Raw genomic sequence first — 13,259 nt, forward strand, 5'->3', positions numbered from 1 at the left:
TTTATAATCCTTTGGGTATATACCCAGTAATGGGATGGATTTCTAGTTCTAGATCCTTGAGGAATCGCCACACTGTCTTCCACAATGGTTGAACTAGTTTACAGTCCTACCAACAGTATAAAAGTGTTCCTATTTCTCCACATCCTCTCCAGCACCTGTTGTTTCCTGACCTTTTTAATGATCGCCATTCTAACTGGTGTGAGATGGTATCTCTTTGTGGTTTTGATTTGCATTTCTCTGATGGCCAGTGATGATGAGCATTTTTTCATGTGTCTGTTGGCTGCATAAATATCTTCTTTTGAGAAGTGTCTGTTTATATCCTTTGCTCACTTTTTGATGGGGTTGTTTTTTTCTTGTAAATTTGTTTGAGTTCTTTGTAGATTCTAGATATTAGCCCTTTTTCAGAAGAGTAGATTGCAAAAATTTTCTCCCATTTTGTAGGTTGCCTGTTCACTCTGATGGTAGTTTCTTTTGCTGTGCAGAAGCTCTTTAGTTTAATTAGATGCCATTTGTCAATTTTGGCTTTTGTTGCCATTGCTTTTGTGTTTTAGACATGAACATGCCTGTGTCCTGAATGCTATTGCCTAGGTTTTCTTCTAGGGTTTTTATGGTTTTAGGTCTAACATTTAAGTCTTTAATCCATATTGAATTAATTTTTGTATAAGGTGTAAGGAAGGGATCCAGTTTCAGCTTTCTACATATGGCTAGCCAGTTTTTCCAGCACCATTTATTAAATAGGGAATCCTTTCCCCATTTCTTGTTTTTGTCAGGTTTGTCAAAGATCAGATGGTTGTAGATGTGTGGTATTATTTCTGAGGGCTCTGTTCTGTTCCATTGGTCTATATCTCTGTTTTAGTACCAGTACCATGCTGTTTTGGTTACTATAGCCTTGTAGTACAGTTTGAAGTCAGGTAGCATGATGCCTTCAGCTTTGCTCTCTTGACTTAGGATTGACTTGGCAATGTGGGCTCTTTTTTGTTCCATACGAACTTTAAAGTAGTTTTTTTCAATTCTGTGAAGAAAGTCATTGGTAGCTTGATGGGGATGGCATTGAATCTGTAAATTACGTTGGGCAGTATGGCCATTTTCACGATATTGATTCTTCCTATCCATGAGCATGGAATGTTCTTCCATTTGTTTGTATCCTCTTTTATTTCCTTGAGCAGTGGTTTGTAGTTCTCCTTGAAGAGGTCCTTCACATCCCTTGTAAGTTGGATTCCTAGGTATTTTATTCTCTTTGAAGCAATTGTGAATGGGAGTTCACTCATGATTTGGCTCTCTGTTTGTCTGTTATTGGTGTATAAGAATGCTTGTGATTTTTGCACATTGATTTTGTATCCTGAGACTTTGCTGAAGTTGCTTATCAGTTTAAGGAGATTTTGGGCTGAGACAATGGGGTTTTCTAAATATACAATCATGTCATCTGCAAACAGGGACAATTTGACTTCATCATTTCCTAATTGAATACCCTTTATTTCTTTCTCCTCCCTGATTGCCCTGGCCAGAAGTTCCAACACTATGTCGAATAGGAGTGATGAGAGAGGGCATCCCTGTCTTGTGCCAGTTTTCAGAGGGAATGCTTCCAGTTTTTGCCCATTCAGTATGATATTGGCTGTGGGTTTGTCATAAATAGCTCTTATTATTTTGAGATACATCCCATCAATACCTAATTTATTGAGAGTTTTTAGCATGAAGGACTGTTGAATTTTGCCAAAGGCCTTTTCTGCATCTATTGAGATAACCATGTGGTTTTTGTCTTTGGTTCTGTTTATATGCTGGATTACATTTATTGATTTGCGTATGTTGAACCAGCCTTGCATCCCAGGGATGAAGCCCACTTGATCATGGTGGATAAAATTTTGATGTGCTGCTGGATTCAGTTTGCCAGTATTTTATTGAGGATTTTTGCATCATTGTTCATCAGGGATATTGGTCTAAAATTCTTTTTTTTGTTGTGTCTGCCAGGCTTTGGTATCAGGATGATGCTAGCCTCATAAAATGAGTTAGGGAGAATTCCCTCTTTTTCTATTGATTGGAATAGTTTCAGAAGGAATGGTACCAACTCCTCCTTGTACCTCTGGTAGAATTCGGCTGTGAATCCATCTGGTCCTGGACTTTTTTTGGTTGGTAGGCCCAATAGCCAGCATTTTTTTTTCTTCCTCTTTCTTCATTCATAGCCAAAGACTTAATAATTACAATCAACTGTCAATCAAAAAAAAATCTCATGACTTTTAGGTTCTTTTCAAAGAAATGGGTAATAAATCTGGGGTGAGTTCATTGTCTCCCAAAGTTCTCACTGTTCAGTAAAGTTGCATAGCAGAACACAAACTAGGATTCTCAAAAGCATTAATGAGATCTCAGCTTGCTTTTCTTTCCTTTCTTTAAAACTTTATTTTTAATCAACAATGGTGGTTATCAACTGGCTTTTCAAGTTATTCTATCAATATCTATTATTCTAGGAATTTAAAGCATGCAAATACGTCATTTACAATGTTTTCTTTTGAAGGCTGGCATTTGTTTTCAAAGAAACGACATCTTGGGAAACAGCCACTCCACAGGTATTACACAAACAAAAGTGATGCCAGCAAAAATGAAAGAAAGAAAAAAGGGTATTTTCTTTGTTGGGTTGCCAGCATGGCCCTAGGATAAAGCAGACTTGCAAACAGAGGTACAGGTTGGTGTTGCAGAGGCCCATTTTCTCCAGGTTTTGACAGCGCTTATCATTATTATTAATTTTTAAGTAAACTTTAAAAGTGTAACATACAGACGGAAAAGTTCACAAATTGTAGGTGTCCACCTCAACTGTATTTTTGCAGAGAATATATTCGTGTCACTGTCACTCAGATCAAGAAATAGAATATTACAGTCATCCCAGAAATTCCTTTTGTATACCCTTTCCAGTTCCTGTCCTCTCATATAATCACTATTCAAATTTCTAACACTATGGATTACTTTTGCCTCAGGCAAAAATGGATGAATTTTTGTTTGCTTTCATTTTTTGTTGTTACCTGAAGTGTAGGGAGGATCTAGGACAATTTCTGAGGCAAAGTTGAAATACCAGGTCCCATACTTTTTGGCAGCGATTCTCAAGGCATGGCCACAGACCAGCAGTATTTGCATGCAAATTATAGGTTCCCATCTCAGGCCTACTTAACTAGGAACTCTGGGGGTGGGGTCCAGCAATCATCCTCCAGGAAAATCTGACTCTAGTCAAGTTTGAGAAGGGCTGCGCCATAGGTTCATTTAAAAAAAGGACTGAGCTTAGTTGTTTGCCAGGCTTCCCAATGGCTGAGAGGGACATGGAATGGTGAACTGAGCTTCCCCTGTCAGTTTTCAGAGAAAGAATACAAAAGACATAGAGCAGAGAGGCCTGTTGCTTTTTATCATCAAAAAGAACAGCAAGGTTCTCAACCAAAAGTATTCTTCAGATATCCTTTAATAGGCTTCTTTTTAAAAAATCATTCAGTTAAATATAAATGGTTGGACCCTGTCCCAGTCCTACTGAGTAAAAATCTCCAGAGATTGAAGCCTGGGCTTATGCTTTAAATGTTCCACAAATTATACAGATTGAAGACCACCACAGGCCTCTCTGAGGCTAAGCTGGAGCCCCTAAGGAGCTGAGCCTATTGATAGTTGTCCCCAGAAGGGCAATACAACAGGTGGCTTCTGGAGAGTATGTTAGTTATGGACTACTGACTAACAAATTCCCCCAGTTAAAATATGGCTTAAAATTCCAGGCCAGCCACAGTGACTCATGCCTGTGATCCCAGCACTTTGGGAGGCTGAAGTGGGAGGATTACTCGAGCTCAGGAGTTTGAGACCAGCCTGGGCAAGTAGGGAGGCCCCAACTCTACAAAAAATTTAAAAATTAGTCAGGCATGGTGGTGCACACCTGTAGTCCCAGCTACTCAGGAGGCTGAGGTGGGAGGATTGCTTGGGCCCAGGTCAAGGCTGCAGTAAAAGCCATGATTGCACTACTGCACTCCAGCCTGGGTGACAGAGCAAGACCCTTACTGAAAAACAAAAAAACAAAACAAAACAAAATTCCAAACATCTGTTATCTCACAGTATCTGTAGGTCATGAATTTGGGAATGGCTTAGCTGAGTGGTTCTGGCTCAGGAATTTGCAGTCAGGATGCTGACAGGGGTTGCAGGCATCTGAAGGCTTGACTGGGGTTGAGGATCCACTTCTAAGATGGCTCCCTCTTATGGCCATTGGCAGGAAGCCTCAGTTTCTTGCCATATGAGCCTTTCCAAAGGCTGCTTGAGTGTCCTCCTGACATGGCAGCTTGTTTCCTCCAAAGAAAAAAAGGAACTGCTATGCCTTTTCTGATCTGGTCTTCAAAGGCACACACCATGTTTGTTGTTATTGTTTCTCTGATTTTTAGATTTCAATAGTTTTGGGGGAACAGGTGGTTTTTGGTTACATGGATAAGTTCTTTAGTGGTGATGTCTGAGATTTTGGTGTACCCATCACCCGAGCAGTGTACACTGTACCCAATGTGCAGTCTTTTATCTCTCACCACCCTCCCACCCTTCCTCCTGAGTCCCCAGAGTGCATTATATCATTCTTCTGCCTTTGCATTCTCATAGCTTAGTTCCCATTTATAAGAACATGAGATATTTGGCTTTCCATTCCTGAGTTACTTCACTTAGAATAATAGTTTCCAACTTCATCCAGGTTGCTGCAAATGCCATTATTTTTTCTTTTATATGACTGAGTAGTATTCTGTGGTGTATGTATATCACATTTTTTTATCCACTCATTGGTTGATGGGCATTTAGGTTGTTTCCACATTTTTGCAGTTGTGAATTGTGTTGCTATAAACATGAATGTGAAAGTGTCTTTTTCATATAATGACTTCTTTTCCTCTGGGTAGAGACCCAGTCATGGGATTGCTGGATCAAATGGTAGTTCTACTTATAGTTCTTTAAGGAACCTCCATCCTGTTTTCCATAGTGGTTTTACTAGTTTACATTCCCACCAGCAGACACACCATGAGTTCTGGTTTATTCTTTTTGTTAGAAGTGAGTCACTAAGTCCAATACACATTCAAGAAAATGAGAATTAGGCTCCACTAGGATACAAGGAAGAGTACCAAAGCATCTGTAGACATATCTATATCTTAAAACCACCATAGAGAAGCTTTCAGATGAAGTAAAGTCCTGTAAAAAGCCTGTTAGCAAATGTAGAGGGAGAGTTTTTGAAGCTGTGTACCAGTAGCCTATGATGATCTTGCAGATCCAAGTAAAGAGGGAAATCATTCTTTTTTTTTTTTAATTATACTTTAAGTTTTACGGTACATGTGCACATTGTGCAGGTTAGTTACATATGTATACATGTGCCATGCTGGTGTGCTGCACCCACTAACTCGTCATCTAGCATTAGGTATATCTCCCGAAGCTATCCCTCCCCCCTCCCCCCACCCCACAACAGTCCCCAGAGTGTGATATTCCCCTTCCTGTGTCCATGTGATCTCATTGTTCAATTCCCACCTATGAGTGAGAATATGCGATGTTTGGTTTTTTGTTCTTGCGATAGTTTACTGAGAATGATGATTTCCAATTTCATCCATGTCCCTACAAAGGACATGAACTCATCATTTTTTATGGCTACATGGTATTCCATGGTGTATATGTGCCACATTTTCTTAACCCAGTCTATCATTGTTGGACATTTGGGTTGGTTCCAAGTCTTTGCTATTGTGAATAATGTCGCAATAAACATGCGTGTGCATGTGTCTTTATAGCAGCATGATTTATAGTCCTTTGGGTATATACCCAGTAATGGGATGGCTGGGTCAAATGGTATTTCCAGTTCTAGATCCCTGAGGAATCACCACACTGACTTCCACAATGGTTGAACTAGTTTACAGTTCCACCAACAGTGTAAAAGTGTTCCTGTTTCTCCACATCCTCTCCAGCACCTGTTGTTGCCTGACTTTTTAATGATTGCCATTCTAACTGGTGTGAGATGGTATCTCACTGTTGTTTTGATTTGCATTTCTCTGATGGCCAGTGATGATGAGCATTTTTTCATGTGTTTTTTGGCTGCATGAATGTCTTCTTTTGAGAAGTGTCTGTTCATGTCCTTCGCCCACTTTTTGATGGGGTTGTTTGTTTTTTTCTTGTAAATTTGTTTGAGTTCATTGTAGATTCTGGATATTAGCCCTTTGTCAGATGAGTAGGTTGCGAAAATTTTCTCCCATTTTGTAGGTTGCCTGTTCACTCTGATGGTAGTTTCTTTTGCTGTGCAGAAGCTCTTTAGTTTAATCAGATCCCATTTGTCAATTTTGGCTTTTGTTGCCATTGCTTTTGGTATTTTAGACATGAAATCCTTGCCCATGCCTATGTCCTGAATGGTAATGCCTAGGTTTTCTTCTAGGGTTTTTATGGTTTTAGGTCTAACGTTTAAGTCTTTAATCCATATTGAATTGATTTTTGTATAAGGTGTAAGGAAGGGATCCAGTTTCAGCTTTCTACATATGGCTAGCCAGTTTTCCCAGCACCATTTATTAAATAGGGAATCCTTTCCCCATTGCTTGTTTTTCTCAGGTTTGTCAAAGATCAGATAGTTGTAGACATGCGGCATTATTTCTGAGAGCTCTGTTCTGTTCCATTGATCTATATCTCTGTTTTGGTACCAGTACCATGCTGTTTTGGTTACTGTAGCCTTGTAGTATAGTTTGAAGTCAGGTAGTGTGATGCCTCCAGCTTTGTTCTTTTGGCTTAGGATTGACTTGGCAATGCGGGCTCTTTTTTGGTTCCATATGAACTTTAAAGTAGTTTTTTCCAATTCTGTGAAGCAAGTCATTGGTAGCTTGATGGGGATGGCATTGAATCTGTAAATTACCTTGGGCAGTATGGCCATTTTCACGATATTGATTCTTCCTACCCATGAGCATGGAATGTTCTTCCATTTGTTTGTATCCTCTTTTATTTCCTTGAGCAGTGGTTTGTAGTTCTCCTTGAAGAGGTCCTTCACATCCCTTGTAAGTTGGATTCCTAGGTATTTTATTCTCTTTGAAGCAATTGTGAATGGGAGTTCACTCATGATTTGGCTCTCTGTTTGTCTGTTGTTGGTGTATAAGAATGCTTGTGATTTTTACACATTGATTTTGTATCCTGAGACTTTGCTGAAGTTGCTTATCAGCTTAAGGAGATTTTGGGCTGAGACAGTGGGGTTTTCTAGATATACAATCATGTCGTCTGCAAACAGGGACAATTTGACTTCCTCTTTTCCTAATTGAATACCCTTTATTTCCTTCTCCTGCCTCATTGCCCTGGCCAGAACTTCCAACACTATGTTGAATAGGAGTGGTGAGAGAGGGCATCCCTGTCTTGTGCCAGTTTTCAAAGGGAATGCTTCCAGTTTTTGCCCATTCAGTATGATATTGGCTGTGGGTTTGTCATAGATAGCTCTTATTATTTTGAAATACGTCCCATCAATACCTAATTTATTGAGAGTTTTTAGCATGAAGGGTTGTTGAATTTTGTCAAAGGCTTTTTCTGCATCTATTGAGATAACCATGTGGTTTTTGTCTTTGGCTCTGTTTAAATGCTGGATTACATTTATTGATTTGCATATATTGAACCAGCCTTGCATCCCAGGGATGAAGCCCACTTGATCATGGTGGATAAGCTTTTTGATGTGCTGCTGGATTCGTTTTGCCAGTATTTTATTGAGGATTTTTGCATTAATGTTCATCAAGGATATTGGTCTAAAATTCTCTTTTTTTGTTGTGTCTCTGCCCGGCTTTGGTATCAGAATGATGCTGGCCTCATAAAATGAGTTAGGGAGGATTCCCTCTTTTTCTATTGATTGGAATAGTTTCAGAAGGAATGGTACCAGTTCCTCCTTGTACCTCTGGGAGAATTCGGCTGTGAATCCATCTGGTTCTGGACTCTTTTTGGTTGGTAAGCTATTGATTATTGCCACAACTTCAGCTCCTGTTATTGGTCTATTCAGAGATTCAACTTCTTCCTGGTTTAGTCTTGGGAGAGTGTATGTGTCCAGGAATTTATCCATTTCTTCTAGATTTTCTAGTTTATTTGCGTAGAGGTGTTTGTAGTATTCTCTGATGGTAGCTTGTATTTCTGTGGGATCGATGGTGATATCCCCTTTATCATTTTTTATTGCGTCTATTTGATTCTTCTCTCTTTTCTTCTTTATTAGTCTTGCTAGCGGTCTATCAATTTTGTTGATCCTTTCAAAAAACCAGCTCCTGGATTCATTAATTTTTTGAAGGGTTTTTTGTGTCTCTATTTCCTTCAGTTCTGCTCTGATTTTAGTTATTTCTTGACTTCTGCTAGCTTTTGAATGTGTTTGCTCTTGCTTTTCTAGTTCTTCTAATTGTGATGTTAGGGTGTCAATTTTGGATCTTTCCTGCTTTCTCTTGTGGGCATTTAGTGCTATAAATTTCCCTCTACACACTGCTTTGAATGCGTCCCAGAGATTCTGGTATGTTTTGTCTTTGTTCTCATTGGTTTCAAAGAACATCTTTATTTCTGCCTTCATTTCGTTATGTACCCAGTAGTCATTCAGGAGCAGGTTGTTCAGTTTCCATGTAGTTGAGCGGTTTTGAGTGAGTTTCTTAATCCTGAGTTCTAGTTTGATTGCACTGTGGTCTGAGAGATAGTTTGTTATAATTTCTGTTCTTTTAAATTTGCTGAGGAGAGCTTTACTTCCCAGTATGTGGTCAATTTTGGAATAGGTGTGGTGTGGTGCTGAAAAAAATGTATATTCTGTTGATTTGGGGTGGAGAGTTCTGTAGATGTCTATTAGGTCCACTTGGTGCAGAGCTGAGTTCAATTCCTGGGTATCCTTGTTGACTTTCTGTCTCGTTGATCTGTCTAATGTTGACAGTGGGGTGTTAAAGTCTCCCATTATTAATGTGTGGGAGTCTAAGTCTCTTTGTAGGTCACTCAGGACTTGCTTTATGAATCTTGGTGCTCCTGTATTGGGTGCATATATATTTAGGATAGTTAGCTCTTCTTGTTGAATTGATCCCTTTACCATTATGTAATGGCCTTCTTTGTCTCTTTTGATCTTTGTTGGTTTAAAGTCTGTTTTATCAGAGACTAGGATTGCAACCCCTGCCTTTTTTTGTTTTCCATTTGCTTGGTAGATCTTCCTCCATCCTTTTATTTTGAGCCTATGTGTGTCTCTGCACGTGAGATGGGTTTCCTGAATACAGCACACTGATGGGTCTTGACTCTTTATCCAATTTGCCAGTCTGTGTCTTTTAATTGGAGCATTTAGTCCATTTACATTTAAAGTTAATATTGTTATGTGTGAATTTGATCCTGTCATTATGATGTTAGCTGGTGATTTTGCTCGTTAGTTGATGCAGTTTCTTCCTAGTCTCGATGGTCTTTACATTTTGGCATGATTTTGCAGCGGCTGGTACCGGTTGTTCCTTTCCATGTTTAGTGCTTCCTTCAGGAGCTCTTGTAAGGCAGGCCTGGTGGTGACAAAATCTCTCAGCATTTGCTTGTTTGTAAAGTATTTTATTTCTCCTTCACTTATGAAGCTTAGTTTGGCTGGATATGAAATTCTGGGTTGAAAATTCTTTTCTTTAAGAATGTTGAATATTGGCCCCCACTCTCTTCTGGCTTGTAGGGTTTCTGCCGAGACATCTGCTGTTAGTCTGATGGGCTTCCCTTTGAGGGTAACCCGACCTTTCTCTCTGGCTGCCCTTAACATTTTTTCCTTCATTTCAACTTTGGTGAATCTGACAATTGTGTGTCTTGGAGTTGCTCTTCTCGAGGAGTATCTTTGTGGCGTTGTCTGTATTTCCTGAATCTGAACGTTGGCCTGCCTTGCTAGATTAGGGAAGTTCTCCTGGATAATATCTTGCAGAGTGTTTTCCAACTTGGTTCCATTCTCCCCATCACTTTCAGGTACACCAATCAGATGTAGATTTGGTCTTTTCAAATAGTCCCATATTTCTTGGAGGCTTTGTTCATTTCTTTTTATTCTTTTTTCTCTAAACTTCCCTTCTTGCTTCATTTCATTCATTTCATCTTCCATCGCTGATACCCTTTCTTCCAGTTGATCGCATCGGCTCCTGAGGCTTCTGCATTCTTCACGTAGTTCTCGAGCCTTGGTTTTCAGCTCCATCAGCTCCTTTAAGCACTTCTCTGTATTGGTTATTCTAGTTATACATTCTTCTAAATTTTTTTCAAAGTTTTCAACTTCTTTGCCTTTGGTTTGAATGTCCTCCTGTAGCTCAGAGTAATTTGATCGTCTGAAGCCTTCTTCTCTCAGCTCGTCAAAGTCATTCTCCATCCAGCTTTGTTCCGCTGCTGGTGAGGAACTGCGTTCCCTTGGAGGAGGAGAGGCGCTCTGCTTTTTAGAGTTTCCAGTTTTCCTGTTCTGTTTTTTCCCCATCTTTGTGGTTTTATCTACTTTTGGTCTTTGATGATGGTGATGTACAGATGGGTTTTTGGTGTGGATGTCCTTTCTGTTTGTTAGTTTTCCTTCTAACAGACAGGACCCTCAGCTGCAGGTCTGTTGGAGTACCCTGCCGTGTGAGGTGTCAGTGTGCCCCTGCTGGGGGGTGCCTCCCAGTTAGGCTGCTCGGGGGTCAGGGGTCAGGGACCCACTTGAGGAGGCAGTCTGCCCGTTCTCAGATCTCCAGCTGCGTGCTGGGAGAACCACTGCTCTCTTCAAAGCTGTCAGACAGGGACATTTAAGTCTGCAGAGGTTACTGCTGTCTTTTTGTTTGTCTGTGCCCTGCCCCCAGAGGTGGAGCCTACAGAGGCAGGCAGGCCTCCTTGAGCTGTGGTGGGCTCCACCCAGTTCGAGCTTCCCGGCTGCTTTGTTTACCTAATGAAGCCTGGGCAATGGCGGGCGCCCCTCCCCCAGCCTAGCTGCCACCTTGCAGTTGGATCTCAGACTGCTGTGCTAGCAATCAGCGAGACTCCGTGGGCGTAGGACCCTCTGAGCCAGGTGTGGGATATAATCTCGTGGTGTGCCATTTTTTAAGCCCCTCGGAAAAGCGCAGTATTCGGGTGGGAGTGACCCGATTTTCCAGGTGCTGTCCATCACCCCTTTCTTTGACTCAGAAAGGGAACTCCCTGACCCCTTGCACTTCCCAAGTGAGGCAATGCCTCGCCCTGCTTCGGCTCGCGCACGGTGCACGCACCCACTGACCTGCGCCCACTGTCTGGCACTCCCTAGTGAGATGAACCCAGTACCTCAGATGGAAATGCAGAAATCACCCATCTTCTGCATCGCTCACGCTGGGAGCTGTAGACCGGAGCTGTTCCTATTCGGCCATCTTGGCTCTGGTTCCCGGAAATCATCCTTTTTAACTAAGCTTTGGCTCTGGCTTATAAGATGAGACATATGTTAGACTTAAGATAGGAGTCAATGACAATAGGAGAGTTGAGAATGAGCCTCTCACTGACAACACGTGAGAGCAGCATGAAACCACTAAATATGATGGTGGGCTAAGAATTGTTGGGCTGATCTGACAAAACTTTGGCATGGAAAAAGTGCCAAATTATTTGTCAATTATTTGTGCACTGAGTAATTAAAAGAATTCAGCAACCTACCTTCCCCCTTTTTTTCCCTCACCCCCAACAAAACCCAAAGGGAGAGAAGAAAGGTCTACAAAATTCCTCTTTTAATATCAATGAGCTCTACTAGCTAAGGCAAACGATAGGTACTTGGTGTCCCTGAAGTCCTTCAAATCCCTGGGTGACAACTCAAGATTCTCAACAAGGTCATGGGGTGATTTTATACCTATATATCTCCATTGCCTGGCATTAACTGAACTTCAGATACACGCATTTTGACCTAATTTGTTATTTGACCTCATTTTACCAAAACGTGATCCAGTGTAATGCATGTTCCAGAAGAGAAAGTGATAGAGAGTAAAGACATTCCATTCCTGGCTGGCTGTGCAGTAGTTCTTTCAGCAGCCCATATTCTCACCAATTGAAAAGATGCATGCTGGAATGCACACTGGCTTTATGACTTTCAGATTGGCTTTATGACTTATTGGATTCAGATTGGCTTTATGACTTATTGGCTGTGAAGCATTAGGTAAGTTACTTAAACTCCCTAAGCCTCGATTTCTTTATCTGTAGAATGCCTCAATATACTTGTCTATTGAGATTATTGAAACGATGAAATGAAGTAACATGCATGAGATGTCACAGTGCCATGCTCATCTTGATGAGTCTTCCTAGTTTACAATGAACAGTCTTTCCAAATTTGTGCACAATAAAATTGTATTGTATTGGTCCAATGAAGCATGGAGAGTCCTCCAGGGCAGGTGGGCTATAGTCCAACTCCCTTCCAGAGTACTGGGATTTGCAGAAAAATGCAAGCCCCAGGAAAAACTAAAAGGTTATACAAAGGCTCTTTCTACTATCCTGGAATGGAAAATAAAATAACTTTAGGGAAAGATGCATGAGTCTTTTGCAAGATACTGAAAGATTTGGGGCAAACCTGATAACATGTCACCCTTTAACCCATCTACCTCTTTGTTCTAAAAACAAAAAAGAGCTATATGAGGTTCCTGTTAAGGGGCACAAGTTAATGAGAGTTGTGGCCGTAACTAGAGCTACAATTAGCTGTTGAAGTCTCTTTGCTTTCTCATAGCCTGAGCTAATCAGTGACTCTGTGGTGAAAAGAGATGAGAATGGTTTCATTTTTTTAGTAGGTTTTTGCTGATAACATACCCCAAAAGAACCATTTTGTAGGGTCAAATGTTTAGTATTATGTGTTTTTTTAAAAAGGTAGTTTCAACTTCAACAATTACATAATGAACATATGGAAGGAGGTAAAATGAGGAAATGCAGTAAGAAGAGGGTAGGGAGAAGGAGAGAAAAAGGAAAACGGAAAAAACTCAAGAGTGAAAACTAAGTGGTGTGTGAAAATGTCATTGTGCCTGGGTGGTTGAAGTCATTAAAGTCAGAGAGCCAAAAATACCTAACAGAGTGGAGCGAAAAAAGAGCCGGACAGAACAGTGAGAATAATATATCACTGATGTAAAAACAACTCATATGATGCTTGTAAATGTGGAAACTATAACTATCCCTGGAGGGGTATAGAGATGAGTTCAATTAGGAGGGAAACTGAGTGACAGGAGGACAAAATTGGAAGGGAGATTTTTACTGTATAACTTTGTATCTTTTAAATTTTGTTCCAGGCGCATTTATCATGTATTCAATGCATTTAAACAGAAGAGGAGAAGGACGGGCCATAGGATAGAACTATTGGTTAAAACCATCTTGTCTCAAGC

General features: G+C 40.6%; 1 protein-coding gene across 4 annotated transcripts in view; it reads right to left on the reverse strand.

Moving 5' to 3' along the window:
- SNTB1 (syntrophin beta 1) overlaps window positions 1–13,259 on the reverse strand; it is a 276,291-nt gene that overhangs the window by 103,139 nt on the left and 159,893 nt on the right. The window lies entirely within an intron of this gene.

Source organism: Homo sapiens, chromosome 8 (assembly GCF_000001405.40).
Source record: "Homo sapiens chromosome 8, GRCh38.p14 Primary Assembly".
Taxonomy (NCBI): domain Eukaryota; kingdom Metazoa; phylum Chordata; class Mammalia; order Primates; family Hominidae; genus Homo; species Homo sapiens.